General features: G+C 47.4%; 1 protein-coding gene and 1 long non-coding RNA gene across 13 annotated transcripts in view, besides 7 other annotated features; one reads left to right on the forward strand and one right to left on the reverse strand.

Annotated features, from left to right (window-relative positions):
* Nucleotides 1626–1675: an enhancer, noted in NCBI's record as "active region_13375". NCBI's record gives its function as "activates an Ori minimal core promoter by ATAC-STARR-seq in GM12878 lymphoblastoid cells {active_cell/tissue: GM12878}" and the evidence as "EXISTENCE:reporter gene assay evidence [ECO:0000049][PMID:35858748]".
* Nucleotides 1722–2222: an enhancer, noted in NCBI's record as "H3K27ac hESC enhancer chr18:55297311-55297811 (GRCh37/hg19 assembly coordinates)". NCBI's record gives its function as "activates a minimal SCP1, AML or CMV promoter by ChIP-STARR-seq in primed H9 embryonic stem cells {active_cell/tissue: H9 hESC(primed)}" and the evidence as "EXISTENCE:reporter gene assay evidence [ECO:0000049][PMID:30033119]".
* Nucleotides 1722–2235: a biological region, named in NCBI's record as "H3K27ac hESC enhancer GRCh37_chr18:55297311-55297811".
* Nucleotides 1746–2235: an enhancer, noted in NCBI's record as "active region_13376". NCBI's record gives its function as "activates an Ori minimal core promoter by ATAC-STARR-seq in GM12878 lymphoblastoid cells {active_cell/tissue: GM12878}" and the evidence as "EXISTENCE:reporter gene assay evidence [ECO:0000049][PMID:35858748]".
* Nucleotides 1974–21239, forward strand: part of ATP8B1-AS1 (ATP8B1 antisense RNA 1) — a 38953-nt gene continuing 19687 nt past the window's right edge. The window contains exons 1-2 of the long non-coding RNA NR_164148.1: nucleotides 1974–2161; nucleotides 13202–13695. This is a non-coding gene — a long non-coding RNA (ATP8B1 antisense RNA 1). The remainder of the gene's footprint in view (nucleotides 2162–13201; nucleotides 13696–21239) is intronic.
* Nucleotides 4513–5361: an enhancer, noted in NCBI's record as "H3K27ac hESC enhancer chr18:55300102-55300950 (GRCh37/hg19 assembly coordinates)". NCBI's record gives its function as "activates a minimal SCP1, AML or CMV promoter by ChIP-STARR-seq in naive H9 embryonic stem cells {active_cell/tissue: H9 hESC(naive)}" and the evidence as "EXISTENCE:reporter gene assay evidence [ECO:0000049][PMID:30033119]".
* Nucleotides 15139–15650: an enhancer, noted in NCBI's record as "H3K27ac-H3K4me1 hESC enhancer chr18:55310728-55311239 (GRCh37/hg19 assembly coordinates)". NCBI's record gives its function as "activates a minimal SCP1, AML or CMV promoter by ChIP-STARR-seq in naive H9 embryonic stem cells {active_cell/tissue: H9 hESC(naive)}" and the evidence as "EXISTENCE:reporter gene assay evidence [ECO:0000049][PMID:30033119]".
* Nucleotides 15651–16161: an enhancer, noted in NCBI's record as "H3K27ac-H3K4me1 hESC enhancer chr18:55311240-55311750 (GRCh37/hg19 assembly coordinates)". NCBI's record gives its function as "activates a minimal SCP1, AML or CMV promoter by ChIP-STARR-seq in primed H9 embryonic stem cells {active_cell/tissue: H9 hESC(primed)}" and the evidence as "EXISTENCE:reporter gene assay evidence [ECO:0000049][PMID:30033119]".
* ATP8B1 (ATPase phospholipid transporting 8B1) overlaps nucleotides 18069–21239 on the reverse strand; it is a 156890-nt gene continuing 153719 nt past the window's right edge. For all 12 annotated transcript variants that reach the window (XM_047437547.1, NM_005603.6, NM_001374386.1 and 9 more), the window contains one exon: nucleotides 18069–20355. In XM_047437547.1, coding sequence (XP_047293503.1) covers nucleotides 20131–20355 — 225 coding nt within the window. In that variant the 3' untranslated portion in view covers nucleotides 18069–20130. The remainder of the gene's footprint in view (nucleotides 20356–21239) is intronic.

Below are 21239 nucleotides of genomic sequence, written 5' to 3' on the forward strand. Positions count from 1 at the left end.
TTTGGCCATAGGATATTGGCAGGTGTGATGCAAGCAAAGGTTTACAATGTGTTTGTGCAGTTGGACTTGTGTTCTTGCTTCTGCCATTGTTAGAGAAGCCGAGGCCTAGGAGGGCCAGAGTGACACCATTTTAAGTTGAGCTCCATCTTGAGACTCCTTGCCAGTCACAACCCATGGTCATAAGATGTTTACAGTTGAGAAAACAGCCTAAAGATACCTGCAAGGACACAATCCTGTAACAACAGAAAGACCAGATGTCCCAATACCCGTAATATATGCTTTCAAGATAATTATAGTTATGCTTTAATGTACTTATACACTAAAATGTCAAGGAGAGTTTTCTTTAAATCAATAAAATAATAAATTTTGTCATGCTGTCAGACCACATGCACAAAGACACAGCTTAGTTTAGCCTTTACATAGACAAAACCCCTATATATCAAATTTTTTTTTTTTTCAGACAGAGTCTCGCTCTGTCTCCCAGGCTGGAGTGCAGTGGCGCAATCTCGGCTCACTGCAAGCTCCACCTCCCGGGTTCACCCATTCTCCTGCCTCAGCCTCCCAAGTAGCTGGGACTACAGGCGCCCACCACCACAGCCGGCTAATTTTTTGTATTTTTAGTAAAGATGGGGGTTTCACCGTGTTAGCTAGGATGGTCTCGATCTCCTGACCTTGTGATCTGCCCACCTCGGCTTCCCAAAGTGCTGGGATTAGGCGTGAGCCACCGCGCCCGGCCTATATATGAAAAATTTAAAATGGCCAGGCGCAGTGGCCCAGCACTTTGGGAGGCGAGGCGGGTGGATCATCCTGAGGTCAGGAGTTTGAGACCAGCCTGGCCAACATGCGAAGCCCTGTCTCTACTAAAACTACAAAAATTCACCAGGCGTGGTGGCGGGCGCCTGTAATCCCAGCTACTCAGGAGGCTGAGGCAGGAGAATTGCTTGAACCCAGGAGGCAGAGGTTGCAGTGAACCGAGATTGTGCCATTGCACTCCAGCCTGGGCAATAGAGCAAGAGTCCATCTCAAAAAAAAAAAAAAAAGAAAAAGCTAAAACAAAGACGGGGCATTCCTTTGCTTGCTTCCTAAGGACGCCCTACTCTGTAATGGAGGCGCTTTCAATAAACTCTCACCGTACCCTGCAACTTGTCTTGAATTCCTTCCTGCGTGTAATTCAGGAGGCCTCTCTTGGGGTCTGGATCAAGACCGCTTTTTCTGTGAACAACCACCATGAGAAGAACACGCCCTGACTGACCCACTGGTCCAGGGAAGCTGAGACATGGAGAAGACAGGGACCCAATCTTCAGCTTGGAGACACGTCCAGCTGAACTCAGCCCACATCAGTGACCTGCAGATGCATAAGTGAGAATAAACGATTGTTGGGTTACGCCTCTGAGTTTGGGAGGCATTTTGTTACACCTCTTTAGTGTGGCAATAGTAGACTAATAATACATGCTCTATTATGCAGAAGTGTGTGGCTTAAAATAATAGTTGAATGACCAGGTGCGGTGGCTCAGGCCTGTAATCTCAACATTTTGGGAGGCCATGGTGGGAGGATCACATGAGGCCAGGAGTTCAAGACCAGCCCGGGCAACATAGTGGGACCCCCGTCTCCATAAAATTTTTAAAAAATTAGCCTGGCGTGGTGGGCGCACGCCTGTAGTCCCAGCTACTCGGGACGGCCAGAATGAACGGCATTATCGTCTGTCTCTTCATTCTGATTCTGGCCAGCAAGGGGTGGCCTCCCCCTGCGGTCCTTGCTGTTAGGTCCCTGCGCCCCCTCAGCTTTGCGCTGAAGGTCGCTTTACCGGACCCCACTTCGCCCTACCAGGCGCAGGATGAGCGTCTCTGTTCTTTTAATGTGGCGTCCCCCACAGGCCACCGTACCAGGCCGCCGGTCCGGGGTTAGGGCACTTGACGCCGGCGCCGCCATGTTGTCTCCGGGCCACTTCCGCGTTTCTGGCGCGTGGTCTTGCATTTCCTACTTGGTCCTGTTCGTGGCGCCGCGCCTCCGGGTGTTGGGGAGTCCGGGATGATGGGGAATCCGGGGCTCGCCCTAGTCGCGGGGACACCGCCTTCCAGGAGCTGTCCCCAGGCAAACTCACAGACATCTTCAAAGAGCCTTCTTGGACATTCTGCTTTTTGCTCCTCATAACAGGCTTCGGTAAGAGAACAGGCAAACATCACTGCGGGCGCCTCTAGGGCTCGTTTCCCTGTCCCAGTACCGGGAATCGGGGAGGGGTCCAAGCAGAGTTCACTTAGTTAACAAATCAGTGAAGCAGTTGGAAAATCTCAGTTATATTTTAAATGAGATCGAGGGCGGTGACTCACGCCTGTAATCTCAGCACTTTGGGAGGCCGAAGCGGAGGTGGAGGGTCGCTTGAGGCCAGGAGTTCGAGACCAGCCTGGGCAACGTGGTGAGCCACCCCCGCCCCCGCCCCTCTATAAAAAATACAAGAATTAGCCGGGCTTATTGGCATGGGATTGTGGTCCCAGCTACTTAGGAGGCTGAGGTGGGAGGTCGCTTGAGCCATGGAGGTCGAGGCTGCACTGAGCTGTGATCACGCCACTGCACTCCAGCCTGAGGCTACGGAGAGAGACCCTGTCTCTAATTAATAAATAAATTATAGATAGATGATAGATAGATGCAATAAAAAATAAAATTGGCTTGTAAACGGCAAACTAAAAGTGGAAATTATCATTACAATGAAAATATTAATTTGAGGAACCGAAAACTTAACTTTCCTTTTCCTGTAGTTAAGTTTAAGCACTTAGATTTGCTTCAGTGATTCCCAGGCTTCATGATTGCAAGCTGCTTGCTTGTAAGCACCTTGTCTCTCACTAAAAAAAATTACAGTTATTTTAAAGTCCCGCTGGATGCTCATTCTTTAAGGAGGGTGAACAATGGTAACTCCTGTACCGTTAGAGCTCTGAATGAAGCCAGATACGTTCCATAGATCACAGAACTCATTTTCTGGCTTGGTGAGCCTGGTCAAGTTTCTTAACCTTTCTGAGCCACAGATGTTTCAATTATAAAGTGATAATAACCCTTCACTGGGAAGGTTATTGTGAGGATAATATGAGATCAGCTATACCAAAATATGCCTAACATGTACTTGACATCCAGTAAGCTTTCTGAATTAGGATATAAATGGCATTAATGGTTAATCATTGTTATTCTTTTGTTCCATGATATGCATGAATAACAACTTGAAGCCTTCAAACTGCTGAGAGCTGCTTGGTGGACCTCGTCTCTCAATTTGCCCTTCCCACTAAACCTGTCTTCCCCCAACAGTGGGCTTTCTGGTCAGCATTTCAGAATGTCTCAAACCGTAGGTCCTTCCCACAGCCCCAAATCTCAGCAAATGACCAGTCTCTTGCTTCAAGCTATTAAATGGATGCTGTCTGACAGCCCTCCCTTGAAACCTGCAAACTCTCGTGCTTTGGCATCCATCCTTTCCCTCTAGTGCAATGCAAGTCACATCCTCCCTCTGGCTAACCTCTCCACCCATCTTCTGGATTCCCCACACCTCTCCAATCTAATCTTCACACTCCAGCCAGGGCGAACACTTACAAATATAAACACAGTCATTTCATTCTCTATCTAGCAACTTTCCATGGACTTCCTTTTGCTCTCAGGGTTCACCTCAACATCCTTACAGGCTTTCCAGGCTGTGTATGCTCTGGCTTACCACTGCTTCTTATTTTTTTTTTTATTATTTATTTATTTATTTATTTATTGATTGATCATTCTTGGGTGTTTCTCGCAGAGGGGGATTTGGCAGGGTCACAGGACAATAGTGGAGGGAAGGTCAGCAGATAAACAAGTGAACAAAGGTCTCTGGTTTTCCTAGGCAGAGGACCCTGCGGCCTTCCGCAGTGTTTGTGTCCCTGGGTACTTGAGATTAGGGAGTGGTGATGACTCTTAACGAGCATGCTGCCTTCAAGCGTCTGTTTAACAAAGCACATCTTGCACCGCCCTTAATCCATTTAACCCTGAGTGGACACAGCACATGTTTCAGGAGAGCACAGGGTTGGGGGTAAGGTCACAGATCAACAGGATCCCAAGGCAGAAGAATTTTTCTTAGTACAGAACAAAATGAAAAGTCTCCCATGTCTACCTCTTTCTACACAGACACGGCAACCATCCGATTTCTCAATCTTTTCCCCACCTTTCCCCCCTTTCTATTCCACAAAACCGCCATTGTCATCATGGCCCGTTCTCAATGAGCTGTTGGGTACACCTCCCAGACGGGGTGGTGGCCGGGCAGAGGGGCTCCTCACTTCCCATAGGGGCGGCCGGGCAGAGGCGCCCCTCACCTCCCAGACAGGGCGGCTGGCCGGGCGGAGGGCTGACCCCCCCACCTCCCTCCCGGACGGGGCGGCTGGCCGGGCAGAGGGGCTCCTCACTTCCCAGTAGGGGCGGCTGGGCAGAGGCGCCCCTCACCTCCCGGACGGGGTGGCTGGCCGGGCAGGGGGCTGACCCCCCCACCTCTCTCCCGGACGGGGCGGCTGGCCGGGCGGGGGGCTGACCCCCCCACCTCCCTCCCGGACGGGGCGGCTGGCCGGGCAGAGGAGCTCCTCACTTTCCAGTAGGGGCGGCCGGGCAGAGGCGCCCCTCACCTCCCGGATGGGGTGGCTGGCCGGGCAGGGGGCTGACCCCCCCACCTCCCTCCTGGACGGGGTGGCTGCCGGGCGGAGACGCTCCTCACTTCCCAGACGGGGTGGCTGCCGGGCGGAGGGGCTCCTCACTTCCCAGACGGGGTGGCTGCCCGGCGGAGGGGCTCCTCACTTCTCAGACGGGGCAGCTGCTGGGCAGAGGGGCTCCTCACTTCTCAGACAGGGCGGTTGCCAGGCAGAGGGTCTCCTCACTTCTCAGACGGGGCGGCCGGGCAGAGATGCTCCTCACATCCCGGACGGGGCGACAGGGCAGAGGCGCTCCCCACATCTCAGACGATGGGCGGCCGGGCAGAGACGCTCCTCACTTCCTAGATGGGATGGCAGCCGGGCAGAGACGCTCCTCACTTTCCAGACTGGGCAGCCAGGCAGAGGGGCTCCTCACATCCCAGACGATGGGCGGCCAGGCAGAGACGCTCCTCGCTTCCCAGACGGGGTGGCGGCCGGGCAGAGGCTGCAATCTCGGCACTTTGGGAGGCCAAGGCAGGCTGCTGGGAGGTGGAGGTTGTAGCGAGCCGAGATCACGCCACTGCACTCCAGCCTGGGCACCATTGAGCACTGAGTGAAGGAGACTCCGTCTGCAATCCCGGCACCTCGGGAGGCCGAGGCTGGCGGATCACTCGCGGTCAGGAGCTGGAGACCAGCCCGGCCAACACAGCGAAACCCCGTCTCCACCCAAAAAATACGAAAACCAGTCAGGCGTGGCGGCGCGCGCCTGCAATTGCAGGCACTCGGCAGGCTGAGGCAGGAGAATCAGGCAGGGAGGTTGCAGTGAGCCGAGATAGCAGCAGTACAGTCCAGCTTCGGCTCGGCATCAGAGGGAGACCGTGGAAAGAGGGGAGAGGGAGAGAGAGGGAGAGGGAGAGGGAGAGCTGCTTCTTATTTTTATTTATTTTATTTATTTATTATTATTATTTTTTTGAGACGGAGTTTTGCTCTTGTTGCCCAGGCTGGAGTGCAATGGAGCGATCTCAGCTCACCGCAACCTCCGCCTCCTAGCTTCAAGTGATTCTCCTGCCTCAGTCTCCCAAGTAGCTGGGACTACAGGCATGCGCCACCGTGCCCAGCTTATTTTGTATTTTTAGTAGAGACGGGGCTTCTCCATGTTGGTCAGGCTGGTCTTGAACTCTCGACCTCAGGTGATCTGCCTGCCTCGGCTTCCCAAAGTGCTGGGATTACAGGCGTGAACCACCACGCCCGACTATTTTTTATTTGTTCTTTTGAGACAGGGGTGATCCTCCCACCTCAGCCTCAAAAGTAGCTGGGACTTCAGGCACACACCATCACACCTGGCTAATTTTTTTTTTTTTTTTTTTTTGTAGAGACGGGGTTTGGGGGTTTTGCCTTGTTGCCCAGGTTGGTCTCGAACTCCTGGGCTCAAGGGATATGCCCACCTTAACCTCTCAAAGTGTTAGGATTACAGGTGTGAGCCACTGCGCCCAGCCCTATTGCTTTTTAAAGGTACAATTAACTTTAGCCCAGGCTAGCTTTTTCACTGAATTGATCTGGGTACGATGTGGGGTTTGGGATAGCTGTTCAGAAAGGTGAAGACAGAGTCAAAGAGAGAAAAACATTTTCTCTATAGAGGTGGGGAAACTTTCAGAGAGAATTAATTGTGTCCTCTAAAAGCAATGAAGTCCGCTTGGTTAGTTTGAAGAACGATCATGTATCAGTTTATAGGAATTGAGACTTTTTTTTTTTTTTTTGAGATGAAGTCTTTCTCTGTCCCCCAGGCTGGGGTGCAATGGCATGATCTCAGCTCACTGCACCCTCCACCTCCCAGGTTCAAGCAATTCTCCTGTCTCAGCCTCCCAAGTACCTGGGATTACAGGCGCCTGCCACCACGTCTGGCTAATTTTTGTATTTTTAGTAGAGATGGGGTTTCACCATGTTGGACAGGCTGGTCTTGAACTCCTGACCTCAAGTGATCCGCCTGCATTGGTCCCACAAAGTGCTGGGGTTACAGGCGTGAGCCACCATGCCCGGCCGGAGTTGAGGCTCCAAGGGGTCTCGGGGGGTCTCAGAAGCTCAGCTGATGATATCTTAATCAGGTTTGGGTTTTTTTTTTTTTCTGTTAGAACAGGTCATAAAAATACTTTCACCCCAAGCCACAAAATCCTATAAAATAGCTCAGTCTTTGACAAATACAGTGAATATAAAAGAGCTCTTTTGAGTTTCTATTTACTCAAGATGTTTGCAGTGATAAAATCTTGATATAAGTTTTCTAGAATCTTGAACTTTCAAAGCTCCTTTAGAAACAGTCCTTTGTGTTGTTTTTATTAAACTCTTCAATGAACACAAAGTTTTTATGTTGTTCACACAAAATTTAAATAAGGAAGCTGAAGGTAGGTGGGAACCCCCAAATGGATGGTAATAGAAAACCTCCTATAGCATTTCCATAGACTGGTTTATTCATTATGCAGCTTGGCTCAGCAGAACCATTTTATAATGAAACTGCAAGATGACTCCCAGTGGGCAAATCAACCTCTATTCTAAAGGTTGATTCTTGTCAACTGGGAGAATTGATTCCTGATGAGAAATGCTAGACTAAAAAACCCTCCCACATTCACTTCACAAGCCAGATCCAATATCTTTAATCCTCTTATGGAAAAGAAACAAGGAGACATTTCAGGGCTTACAACAGCCTTCCAGAATAATTGCAACAGTCTCACAGCATCAGGGGCCAAAGGAATATTGACATCTTTCCAACTGGAAATCCTAAACCGGTTATCTGGAGTGAGACAATCTATGTCTTAAACTTGGCCAGAGCACCTTGGATTTTTTTTTTTTTTTTTTTTTTTTTTTTTTTTTTGACGGAGTCTTGCTCTGTCCCCCAGGCTGGAGGGCAGTGATGTGATTTTGGCTCACTGCAACCTCCGCCTCCTGGGTTCAAGCGATTCTCCTGCCTCAGCCTCCCCGTAGCTGGGACTACAGGCATGCGCCACCATGCCTGGGTAATATTTTTGTACTTTTAGTAGAGACAGGGTTTCACCATGTTGATCAGGCTGGTCTCCAACTCCTGACCTCAAATGATCCACCCACCTCAGCCTCTCAGCGTGCTGGGATTACAGGCGTGAGCCACCGCGCCAGGCCAGCACCTTGGATTTTAACCACCATCCTAGATCAGGAAGTTTAAATTTCTCTCCATGTTAAAATTTTCCTTTCTCATATTGTTAATACATTACTATTTGATTAATACAAATTACTATTTGTTAATACAAATACATGCTATTTGATTCAGGTTTTGAAGCAAAATTCCTGATAATTTTAAAACTATGAGAGTTATTTCTTTCTATGCATCTTATTGCTGAGGTCATCTTAGCTGATCATTAATTGGACAATATAGTGGTAAATCCATACTGGTCTTTGACTCTGAAAACATTCTTTCAAATTCCATTGGTGCTTTCCACTGTTTTGACACGACTTTAAGATGTTATCCAGACTCTTCTGAGCGCAAAGAATATGTGTCTGCATATAAATGGCCTAACAAAACACACCACTCTGTCTATAGCCATGAACAGGAAGTCCCCATCTCTGGGCACTGCCAGTCACCCAAGAGGACAATGTGAAGAGCTGGGGTTGCTGCTCTAGGGAGAAGCTTGTGGGCTTGGGCGAGTTTCAGTTTGGGAGTCTTTGTGACTTAAGCAGGAAAAATATTAACTCAGATTACTCCCTTTGGCCTAAAAATCATTTCTATTTTTTATTGTTTAATTTTTGAAATAGAAAATGTATTCATATGGTTCAATATTTTTAAAGTATGAAAAGATAATTCAATATTTAAAAGTCTCACTCCTCATAACAACTGTAGTCTCTTTTTTTTTTTTTTTGAGACGGAGCCTCACTGTGTCACCCAGGCTGGAGTGCAGTGGCGTGATCTCGGCTCACTGCAACCTCTGCCTCCCGGGTTCAAGTGATTCTCTGCCTCAGCCTCCCGAGTAGCTGGGATTGCAGGCATCTGCCACCACGTCCGGCTAATTTTTATATTTTTAGTAGAGACGGGGTTTCACCATGTTGGCCAGGCTGGTCTCGAACTCCTGACCTCGTGATCCACCCGCCTCAGCCTCCCAAAGTACTGGGATTACAGGCGTGAGCCACCGCGCCTGCCCTACTAGTCTCTTTTATATCTAGAGATTCTTGTTGAAAATATGACTATATTCCTCTAAATCTACCTCCTTTATTCCTTCCCTTAAAACGGCCTTTTTTTTTTTTTTTAGGCATAAATAATATACAACAGCCTGGGCACTGTGGCTCATGCCTGTAATCCCAGCACTTTGGAAGGCTGAGGTGGGCAGATCGCCTAAGGTCAGGAGTTCAAGACCAGCCTGGCCAACACGGTAAAACCCCATCTCTACTGAAAATACGAAAATTAGCTGGGCATGGTGGCGCATGCCTGTAATCCTAGCTACTCAGGAGGCTGAGGCAGGAGAATCTCTTGAACCTGGGAGGCAGAGGTTGCAGTGAGCCAAGATTGTGCCCCTGCACTCCAGCCTGGGCAACAGAGACCGCATCTCAAAAGGAAAAAAATATATATGACAAAGTGTACACATTTAAAATGTGCAATTTGATATGTTTTAACATATGTGTATACCTGTGAAACCATCACCACAATTGGGGTTAGGGAAAAAATCCATCACCCCAAAAAGTTTTCTTTTTTTTTTTTGAGACAGAGTCTTGCTCTGTTGCCCAGGCTGGAGTGCAGTGGCCTGATCTTGGCTCACTGCAAGCTCCGCTTCCCAGGTTCATGCCATTCTCCTGCCTCAGCCTCCCGATTAGCTAGGACTACAGGCACCCACCACCATGCTCGGCTAATTTTTTGTATTTTTAGTAGAGACGGGGTTTCATCGTGTTAGCCAGATGGTCTCGATCTCCTGACCTCGTGATCCACCGGCCTCAGCCTCCCAAAGTGCTAGGATTACAGGCGTGAGCCACCGCGCCTGGCCTACCAAAAAGTTTTCTCATGTATTTCCCTAGTGACTAATGATGTTGAGCATCTTCTCATGTGCATTTTTGCTTTACCTGTATCTTCTCTGTTGAAGTATCTGTTCAGATCTTTTGTGAGGACAAGGTACGGGGTTCCAGGTAGGGATCCAAGTTCATTTTTTCGCATGTGGATATCAAATGTCCCGGCACCATTTATTGAGATGGCCATCCTTTCTCTACCTCATCGCTTTTGTAACCTTGTTCAATATCAGTTGTCCATTGATGTATGGATTTATTTATGGACTCTATTAGGTTCCATTGATCTATCTGCCCTCTTTAAGCCAATACTATGCTGTTTTGATTGCTATAGCTTTATAACAATTTTCTCTTTTTTGGCCCTAATTTCACATTTATTTTATTTTTAAAATTTTGACTTTTATTATAGACTAAAGGGTATATGTGCAGCTTTGTTGCATGGGTAAATCGCATGACTCTGAGGCTTGAGGTCCCAGCGATCCTGTCCCCCAGGCAGTCAGCATAGTACTTAACTAGTCGTTCTTCAGCCCATGCTGGTAACAACTTTCAAAATCAAGTAGTGTTCTTCCTCCAACTTTGTTTTTCTTCTGCAGAGTTATTTTGGCTATTTTAGGTCCTTTGCATTTCCAGATGAATTTTAGAATCAGCTTATCAATTTTTACCAAAAAAAGAATCTCATGGGATTTCAATTGGAATTGCATTGACTCTACACATCAATTTAATTGCCTCCTCTTGTTTCTTTTTTATATGAAAGGTTGTCCCCATACACACAGTTCTGCACCTGGCTCTTCACACTCCACAATGAATGGAGATCTTTCATTCTTCTCCCTTAGCTCCCATTATAGTTTCATTGTATCCTTTTGTTGGGATGGAACTTATTTCATTTAACTGTAGTGAAACTGATGGATTGCTAGCTTACTGCTGATATTTTGCTATTACAAACAGTGCTGCAGTATAATCACTGTACGTGTCATTTCCCTTGTGGGCAAATATATCTGCAGGATGAATTTGAGAAGTGTGATTGCCAGGTCAAAGGGAATATACATTTAACATTTTACTGGCAAGGGCCAGGTGCGGTGGCTCACGCCTGTAATCCCAGCATTTTGGGAGGCTGAGGCGAGCGGATCACAAGGTCAGGAGATTGAGACCATCCTGGCTAACACGGTGAAACCCCATCTCTACTAAAAAAATATACAAAAAATTAGCCGAGTGTGGTGGCACCCGCCTGTAGTCCCAGCTACTCGGGAGGCTGAGGCAGGAGAATAGCTTGAACCTGGGGGGCAGAGGTTGCAGTGAGCTGAGACTGCGCCACTGCACTCCAGCCTAGGTGACAGAGCTAAACTCCATCTCAAAAAAAAAAAATTAATGGTTATGGCTAAATCCTTTCCTAGAGTTTCATAATTTATATACTTTTCATTAATACATTAGAAGGCTTGTTTTGCCATAGCCTTAACAGTGCATTACCAAACTTTCTTGTTTTTGCCAAATTAATAGGTGAAGATGGCCTATCAAAATCATTTTGATTTTCACTTCTTTATTTCAGGTAAGTTTAAACATTGTTTCATGTGTTGAAGAGCCATTTGTATTTCTTTCTTTTTTTTTTTTTTTTTTTTGAGATGGAGTCTCGCTCTGTTGCCTGGGCTGGAGTGTAGTGGCGCAATCTCAGCTCACTGCAAGCTCCGCCTTCCGGGTTCACGCGATTCTCCTGCCTCAGCCTCCCGAGTAGCTGGGACTACAGGCACCCGCCACCACACCTTGACAGGGTTTCACCGTGTTAGCCAGGATGGTCTCGATTTCCTGACCTCGTGATCCGCCTGCCTCAGCCTCCCAAAGTGCTGGGATTACAGGCGTGAGCCACCGCGCCCAGCTGTATTTCTTTTTTTGAGACAGAGTCTGGCTCTGTTTCCCAGGCTGGAGTGCAGTGGTGCAATCTCAAATCACTGCAACCTCCGCCTCCTAGGTTCAAGTGATTCTCCTGCCTCAGCCTCCCTCGTAGCTGGCACTATAGTTATACACCCAGCTAATTTTTGTATTTTTAATGGAGACAGGGTTTCACCATGTTGGCCTGGCTGGTCTCAAACTCCTGGCCTCAAGTGATACGCCCACCCTGGCCTTCCAAAGTGCTGGGATTACAGGGATGAGCCACCGCACCCCGCCCCATTGTATTTCCTTTTTTCTGACTTTTTGTTTTCACAACCTTGGCTGCTATGGTCTGAAGGTTTGTGCCCCCTTAAAATTCATATGCTGAAATCCTAACCTCCAAGGTGATACTAGGAGGTGGAGACATTCAGAGGTGATTAAATCAGGAGGGATTATGTCTTTATAAAATAGTCCTGAAGGAGCTTGTTGGCCCCTTCCACCACGTAAAGACACAGTCAGAAGGCACCATTTGTGAACCAGAAAGCATTTCCTCAGTAGGCACCAAATCTGTCAGCCCCTTGACCTAAGAGTTCCTAGCTTCTGCCAGAACTGTGAGAAAAAATTTCTGTTGCTTATATAAACCACGCAGTTTGTGGTATTTTGTCATAGCAGCCTGAACTAAGACTCGCACACTTTTTCTCCATTTTGCCATCTTTGCTTATACCTTTTTTCTTTTTCTTTTTTTTTTTTTTGCCATAATGGAGGTTTTAAAAATATTTATGCATTTGAAATTACTAGCCTTTCCTTTGAGGCTTTAGATTTTTAGTCTTAATTAGAAAGTCTTTCCCCACTCCAGTATTTGAATTTCCTCGTGATTTTCTTCAAATACTTTGATGAGTTTTTTTTTCTTTTACATTGAAATCTCTTCATTATTTGGAGCCTATTCTACTACAGTGCATGATATCTAATTTGTTTCCCTGTTGTCTCAACACCAGTCCATCTTTCCCCCCACCCACCTTTGATGCCACTTTATATAGTAAATGTTCACGTGTTTGAGGCTATTTCTGGATTTTTCTGTTCTGTTCCATGGAATGTCTGTGTAATCATGCATCAGAACCACACTACTGAAACTGTTTTTCAAATTATAATATGGCGTAATATCTGGTAGGAGTGGTCTCACCTCATTGCTTAGTTTTCTGACATTAATTTTTCCATATGAACTTTAGAATCAGCCCATTACAGGAAACTGTTTGCATTTTTATGAGGATTATATGCCATTTTTAAGTTATTGTAGGAAGAATCAACCCTTTCTAGTGTGATTTTTTTTTCTTTTTTTCTTTGAGACAGAGTCTCACTTTGTCACCCAGGCTGGAGTGCAGTGATGCAATCTCAGTTTACCACAACCTCTGCCTCCTGGATTCAAATGATTCTCCTGCCTCAGCCTCCCGAGTAGCTGGGATGACAGGTGCATGCCACCACGCATGGCTAATTTTTGTATTTTTAGTAGAGATGGGGTTTCACCATGTTGGCCAGTCTAGTCTCCAACTCCTGACCTCCGGTGATCCGCCTGCCTCAGCCTCCCATAGTGCTGGGATTACAGGATTACACGGTGGTGCCCGGCCTCAGTTTTGACGACTTTCCCTGATGACTAATGATGTTGAGCATCTGTTCATATGCTTATTGACCATTTATATCTTTTTTTTTTTTTTAGATGGAGTTTCTCTCTTATTTTCCAGGCTGCAGTACAGTGGCGTGATCTCGGCTCACTGCAACCTCCACCTCCCAGGTTCAAGCGATTCTCCTGTCTTAGCCTCACGAGTAGCCGGGATTACAGGCACATGCCCCCATTCCCAGCTAATTTTTGTATTTTTAGTAGTGACGGGGTTTCATCATATTGGTCAGGCTGGTCTCAAACTCCTGACCTCAGGTGATCCGCCTCGGCCTCCCAAAGTGTTGGGATTACAGGCGTGAGCCACCCACTGTATCTCTTGTTCGGAGGAATATCTAATCAAGAAAATCATTTTTACTGTTTTTATTTTTTGGTTTGTTCGTTTTTTTCCTGTGAGATGGAGTTTCACTCTTGTTGCCCATCCTGGTGTACAATGGCGCGATCTCGGCTCACTTCAACCTCCGCCTCCCAGTGCGTCCGGAATTGGTGGGTTCTTGGTCTCACTGACTTCAAGAATGAAGCTGCGCACCCTCACGGTGAGTGTTACAGTTCTTAAAGGCGGCGTGTCCGGAGTTTGTTCCTTCTGATGTTCAGATGCGTTCGGAGTTTCTTCCTTCTGGTGGGTTCATGGTCTCGCTGGCTTCAGGAGTGAAGCTGCAGACCTTCGTGGTGAGTGTTACAGCTGTTAAGGTGGCGCGTCTGGAGTTGTTCGTTCCTTCCGGTGGGTTCGTGGTCTCGCTAGCTTCAGGAGTGAAGCTTCAGACCTTCACGGTGAGTGTTACAGCCGTTAAGGTGGCGCGTGTGGAGTTGTTCGTTCCTTCCGGTGGGTTCGTGGTCTCGCTAGCTTCAGGAGTGAAGCTTCAGACCTTCACGGTGAGTGTTACAGCCGTTAAGGTGGCGCGTGTGGAGTTGTTCGTTCCTTCCGGTGGGTTCGTGGTCTCGCTAGCTTCAGGAGTGAAGCTTCAGACCTTCACGGTGAGTGTTACAGCCGTTAAGGTGGCGCGTGTGGAGTTGTTCGTTCCTTCCGGTGGGTTCGTGGTCTCGCTAGCTTCAGGAGTGAAGCTTCAGACCTTCACGGTGAGTGTTACAGCCGTTAAGGTGGCGCGTCTGCAGTTGTTCGTTCCTTCCGGTGGGTTCGTGGTCTCGCTAGCTTCAGGAGTGAAGCTTCAGACCTTCACGGTGAGTGTTACAGCCGTGAAGGTGGCGCGTGTGGAGTTGTTCGTTCCTTCTGGTGGGTTCGTGGTCTCGCTAGCTTCAGGAGTGAAGCTTCAGACCTTCACGGTGAGTGTTACAGCCGTTAACGTGGCGCGTCTGGAGTTGTTCGTTCCTTCTGGTGGGTTTGTGGTCTCGCTAGCTTCAGGAGTGAAGCTTCAGACCTTCACGGTGAGTGTTACAGCTCATAGAGGCAGTGTGGACCCAAAGAGTGAGCAGTGACAAGATTTATTGCAAAGATGAAAGAACAAAGCTCCCACAGTGTGGAAGGGGACCCCAGTGGATTGCCTCCGCTGGCTCGGGCAGCCTGCTTTTATTCTCTTATCTGGCCCCACCCACATCCTGCTGATTGGTCCATTTTACAGAGAGCTGATTGGTCCATTTTACAGAGAGCTGATTGGTCTGTTTTGACAGGGTGCTGATTGGTGCGTTTACAATCCCTGAGCTAGACACAAAAGTTCTCCACATCCCCACTAGATTAGCTAGATACAGAGCGTCTACACAAAGGTTCTCCAAGTCCCCACCAGAGTAGCTAGATATAGAGTGTCGATTGGTGCATTCACAAACCCTGAGCTAGACACAGGGTGCTGATTGGTGTGTTTACAAACCTTAAGCTAGATACAGGGTGCCGATTGGTGTATTTACAATCCGTTAGCTAGACATAAAGGTTCTCCAAGTCCCCACCAGAGTAGCCAGATAGAGTGTGGATTGGTGCATTCACAAACCCTGAGCTAGACACAGGGTGCTGATTGGTGTGTTTACAAACCTTGAGCTAGATACAGAGCGCTGATTGGTGTATTTACAATCCCTTAGCTAGACATAAAGGTTCTCCAAGTCCCCACTAGACTCAGGAGCCCAGCTGGCTTCACCCAGTGGATCCTGCACCAGGGCCGCAGGTGGAGCTGCCTGCCAGTCCCGCACCCTGCACCTGCACTCCTCAGCCCTTGGGTGGTCGATGGGACTGGGCGCTGTGGAGCAGGGGGTGGTGCTGGTCAGGGAGGCTTGGGCCTCGCAGGAGCCCACCGTGTGGGGGAGGCTCAGGCATGGCAGGCTGCAGGTCCCGAGCCCTGCCCCGCGGGGAGGCAGCTAAGGCCCAGGGAGAAGTCAAGCATAGCAGCTGCTGGCCCAGGTGCTAAGCCCCTCACTGCCCGGGCTGGCGGGGCCCACTGGCTGCTGGAGCGTGGGGCCCGCGGACACCCACGCCTACCCAGAACTCACGCTGGCCCGCAAGCACCGCGTGCAGCCCGGGTTCCCGACCACGCCTCTCCCTCCACACCTTCCCGCAAGCTGAGGGAGCCGGCTCCGGCCTTGGCCAGCCCAGAAAGGGGCTCCCACAGTGCAGCGGTGGGCTGAAGGGCTCCTCAAGCACCGCCAGAGTAGGCGCCAAGGCCGAGGAGGCGCCGAGAGCGATCGAGGGCTGTGAGGGCTGCCAGCACGCTGTCACCTCTCACCGGGTTCAAGCGATTCTCCTGCCTCAGCCTCCCCAGTAGCTGGAATTACAGACGTGCGCCACCACACTCCGCTAATTTTTATTTTTAGTAGAGACGGATTTCTCCATGTTGGTCAGGCTGGTCTTGAACTCCCGGCCTCAGGTGATCTGCCCGCCTGGGCCTCCCAAAGTGCTGGGATTACAGGTATGAGCCACTGCACCCAGCCTTTACTGTATTTTTTAGCAGAAAGAAAATGATTGCATTACAGTGGTTATTTTTAAGGGCCCCAACCTCCACTTTGTCCTGAGATCTACGTTGTGTTGTTTTCAGTGTTTTAACAGGCCTTTTTATTTTTATAAATGCCCCAGAAGTTGTAGCGCAGCCCTAACTTTCTAGCAGGACTTTTAGAAGCTGACAATTTTCCTAAGTTTCATTCACATCACATGAAGGCAGCAATTGTTAAAATATATTTAGATTCCATTAGGGTACATTTTGCTATCACATTGAAGTCTCTCAAGAATCATTTTATTCCCATCAGATGTTGTTACTGAGCAGTTTCTAGTGCTGAACATGACTAAGAACCTTTAGGTGGTGCTCTTTGATTAAAAACATTTATCCCTCAAACAACTTAAATACAGTAGTATATTGCAGGAAAAAGTGACCTTTATTTTTTTAGGGATGATCTCCCAGGTCTGCTCAATTTTTCTGCCATTTCTATTGCAGAGGCTAATAATTTGCCCATCTCCTCCCAGCCCAAGCACCCCAAGACTGATACTTTTCTATCACCTGCTGCTAATTTTGCCTCCCAAAGAGTCTCCCATCTCGACGCAGAGAGAACCTTCTTAGTGGGGTCACAGCTTCCCTTGCGTCCAAGAGCTGTCTGTCCCACAGCCTGGTCAGACTCCCACAGCCTCGTCAGACTCCCACAGCCTCAAACCCCAGGTTTGCCACTCACTTCCTCACTCACTCCTCTTTGCTCATTTTTCTGCCAACGATTCGTCATGTATTTCTAGGACTATCTGCTCACTTCTCACCCCTTACTTTTTTTGTTTTGTTTTTTGAGACGGAGTCTCGCTGTCACCCAGGCTGGAGTGCAGTGTCACAATCTCAGCCCGCTGCAACCTCCACCTCCCAGGTTCAAGTGATTCTCCTGCCTCAGCTTCCCAAGTAGCTAGGATTACAGGTGTGCACCACCATGCCTGGCTGCTTTTTTTTATTCTTAGTAGAGATGGGGTTTCACCATGTTGGCCATGCTGGTCTCGAACTCCTAACCTCAGGTGACCCACCACCTTGGCCTCCCAAAGTGCTGGGATTACAGGTACAAGCCACCGTGCCCAGCCCCAGTCCTTACTTTTGGTTGAGGGTTACCTTTCCTTTCATTCTGGCTAAAGAGTTGAGGTCAGTTGGAAAAACCCAGACTCAATCTTCCTTTTTTTTTTTTTTTTTTTTGGAGAGAGTCTCACTCCATTGCCCAGGCTGGAGAACAGTAGCACAATCATGGCTCACTGCAACCTCTGCTTCCTGGGTTCCAGCAATTCTCCTGCCTCAGCTGCCAGAGTAGCTGGGATTACAGGTGTGCACCACCTCACCCGGCTAATTTTTGTATTTTTAGTAGAGACGGGGTTTCGCCATGTTGGCCAGACTGGTCTCAAACTCCTGGCCTCAAGTGACCCGCCCACCTCAGCCTCCTAAAGTGCTGGGATTATAGGCATGAGCCACCATGCCTGGCTGATCTCCCTAACTCTAAATCTTTACCCCTCTGTCTCTAAAGTCTGGCCACCTTTTTAATTCTTTTAGAGACAGAGTCTTGCTCTCACCCAGGCTTCAGTACAGTGGCATAATCGTAGCTCACTGCAGCCTCAAACTCCTGGGCTCAAGTGATCCTCCCACCTAAGCCTCCCAAGCAGCAGGGACTACAGGCACATGCCACTACACTGAGATGTTTTTTTTTGAAAAGACAGAGTCTTGCTATGTTGCCCAGGCTGGTCTCAAACTCCTGGCCTCAAGTGATTCTCCTGCCTCAGCCTTCCAAAGTACTGGGATTACAGGCGTGAGCCACAGTGCCCGGTCCTGATCACCTTTTCTCCATCACCTTTTCCCTAACACTTAGTTTCCCTTTCTCCATCACTTCTTCCCTAACACTTAGTTTCCCTGTCCCCGACTTTCTCACTACTAAAGGACCCCTACATTCCTCTAGAAACCTTGTGGGACTAGATTCTTCTGTCACATACCCTATTCTTAAAAATAACAACAACAACAAAAGCCAATTTAAATACTTTAGAAGATCATACTTTTCAAAGATTTTACTAAATCATTTTTTTAAACAAAATATACATTAAATCTCAGATTTACAGAATATAGAAATAATTTATCCAAAGAAATTTGCATTTAAAATTGTTAATATTGCACCCAACAGTATGTCTTTGACACATTTGCATTGTCAATCTTTCCCACAATTTGCAAAAACAGGAGAGAAATCTGAAACTAACAGAATTACACAAGCTAAGTTTTCTGTAAAAAAAGAAAAAACTTACAATTTTTTATTTACAAGTTAAGGAAAAGTTGTAAACGTTCAGGATTTTACTTCCACAGAATAAAAAGCCATACATTCTTTTATCATACCTAGAAAATGAACATATACACATTGTGATTACCTCATAGGAATTCAACAGGACTGATATTGTGAACATTCACAGCCCAATGGTAAAAAACAGAATTCTCGAACTATGGAAACTAGTGTGTGAAAGACACAGAATGAGAAAAATGTCTGGAAAAAAATTACTTTCTCCTCTTTGAGGAGTTTCCATAATTACCTAAAGTTATCTTCAAATTTAAAAGGACACACCATTCCCCAGTCTTAGGAATGTGGCTGCCAATAACCTTTTCTCTCGACATAAGACAAGTGAAAAAGAGTGAGGTCTTTGTTCAAGTCCCTGATAAAATACTTTGCATATAGGCAGGCACAAAAGTTTGCTTTCCAAAAGAAAGCTTTGCAAAATATTCTGCAATTTATTACTGATATCCTCAGTTTTTAAAAACCCCCTTTTTAAGCCCATAAATATTTATATGCTTTAAAAAATGAGAGTAGGGAATCAAATCATTTGGTACTATGGGAAGCTGCTAAAATAATATTTGATAGTAAAAGTATGTAATGTGCTATCTCACCTAGTAGTAAACTAAAAATAAACTGAAACTTTATGGAATCTGAAGTTATTTTCCTTGATTAAATAGAATTAATAAACCAATATGAGGAAACATGAAACCATGCAATCTACTATCAACTTTGAAAAAGTGATTGAACGAACCACTTAGCTTTCAGATGATGAACACTGATAAGTCATTTGTCATTACTATAAATTTTAAAATCTGTTAATAAGATGGCCTATAGGGAGGAAAAAGGGGCCTCTGGGAAATTATGCTGAAGATCACCGAAAGGAAAATGTAACTGTAATTTTATAATACAATACCATTTGAACTGAAATACAACATGCTTTGTAATTCTATTGCCCTGGATTGAGACTGGATTAAAACGTTCCCTTTCAACCATAATGTACATAACCAGTTGAATAATAGGACTTTTATTATTATTAAAAAATTTTTTTTGAGCTGGTGTCTCACTCTGTTGCTCAGGTTGGAGTGCAGTGCCACGATCTCGGCTCACTGGAACCTCCACCTCCCAGGTTCAAGCGATTTCCAGCTAATTTTTGTATTTTTAGTAGAGATGGGGTTTCACCATGTTGGCCGGGCTGGTCTCCTGACCTCAAGTGATCCACCTGCCTTGGCCTCCCAAAGTGCTAGGATGACAGGCATGAGCCACCATGCCCGGCCTATTTTTAAATTTTTCTTAAGACAGAGTCTTGCTCTGTCACCCAGGCTGGAGTGCAGTGGCGCAATCTCGGCTCACTGTAACCTCCATCTCCCAGGTTCAAGCGATTCTTCTGCTTCAGCTTCTCAAATAGGTGGGATTACGGGTGCCCACCACCAAGCCCGGCTAATTTTTAATTTATGGTAGAGACAGGGTTTCACCATGTTGGCTGGGCTGGTCTCGAACTCCTGGCCTCAGGTGATCTCCCCTCCTCAGCCTCCTAAAGTGCTGGGATTACAGACCTGAGCCACCACGCCCGGCCGAATAATAGGACTTTTAAAAGTCCTATTTCTTGGCTCTGCTATTGTTTAATAGTCCAACCCAAGGAGTTTGTTATAAAGATTATTTATTGTCTTCAATATCTTTGTGATGAATGCAATTCACACACACACACAAAGTCCTGAGAGTCTTTCATAAAAAAATAGACGTGCTTTGTGGCCGCATCCCAGCCTGGGGGTAAGGGATCAGCTGTCCCCGGTGCGCCTGTACTCCGCGGTGCCATCCGCCACGATGGCATCAAGCGGCGAGCGCTTCTTGCGGATGCTGCGCCCGGAGGAGATGAGGTCCGCGTAGCCCCGCTGGTGCGAGAAGGCGTAGGCCGAGCGCCGCGTTGACACGCCCCGGCGGAACACCTGCTGCCGTCGCTGCCACTGCTCCTCCGCCTTCAACCGCTTGCGATGCTTCTGGATCTGCAAGGGGGAGAGATGGGGAGGGATGAAAATAAGATCCACACCAGGGAGGAGGCCTGGCCAGACGGTTGACAGAAATGAACACTGATGAACTCCCCTGACACCTGCCCCATTTTGATGCAGGCAGTTCTGTCCCCACTTGTGTGTGTGTGTGTGTGTGTGTGTGTGTGTGTGTATGTGTGTCTATATCTTTTTTTTTGTTTTTGAGACAGTCTCGCTCTGTCACCCAGACTTGAGTGCAATGGCACGATCTTGGCTCACTGCAACCTCTGCCTCCCAGGTTCAAGCGATCCTCCTGCCTCAGCCTCCTGAGTAACTGGGGTTACAGGCACGCACTGCCACACCCGTCTAATTTTTGTATTTTTAGTGGAGACAGAATTTCACCATGTTGGCCAGGCTGGTCCTGACCTCAAGTGATCTGCCTGCCTCGGCCTCCAAAAGTTCTGGGATTACAGGCATGAACCACAGTGCTTGGCTATATCTATCTATCTATCTATCTATCTATCTATATCGACATATATATATGATGATATAAATCTATATCCATCTCTCTATATCTATACATAGATTGATTGATCAATCGATCTACCTACCTACCTACCTGGAGATATATATTGAAGCCAAGGGAAGGTTATTTAACTTTTCCAAGGTCACACAGCTAGAAAATGCAAAGCCAAGATTCCCACTCCTCTGAAGCTAGTGCCCTTTTCTAGTTCAGACCAGATGGGTACAGTCAAAGAGAAAATTCAGTAGGGCCTCTTTCCTGGGTTGTTACTGCATACTGTTGGCACTGCAAAAGGGAGACCCGAGGGATACTGAAGGTTGCCTCAGTAGCCTCTACTCTCTCCTTCTTTCTAATGGAAATTGATTGTATTCAGATTGCC

Source organism: Homo sapiens, chromosome 18 (genome assembly GCF_000001405.40).
Source record: "Homo sapiens chromosome 18, GRCh38.p14 Primary Assembly".
NCBI lineage: Eukaryota > Metazoa > Chordata > Mammalia > Primates > Hominidae > Homo > Homo sapiens.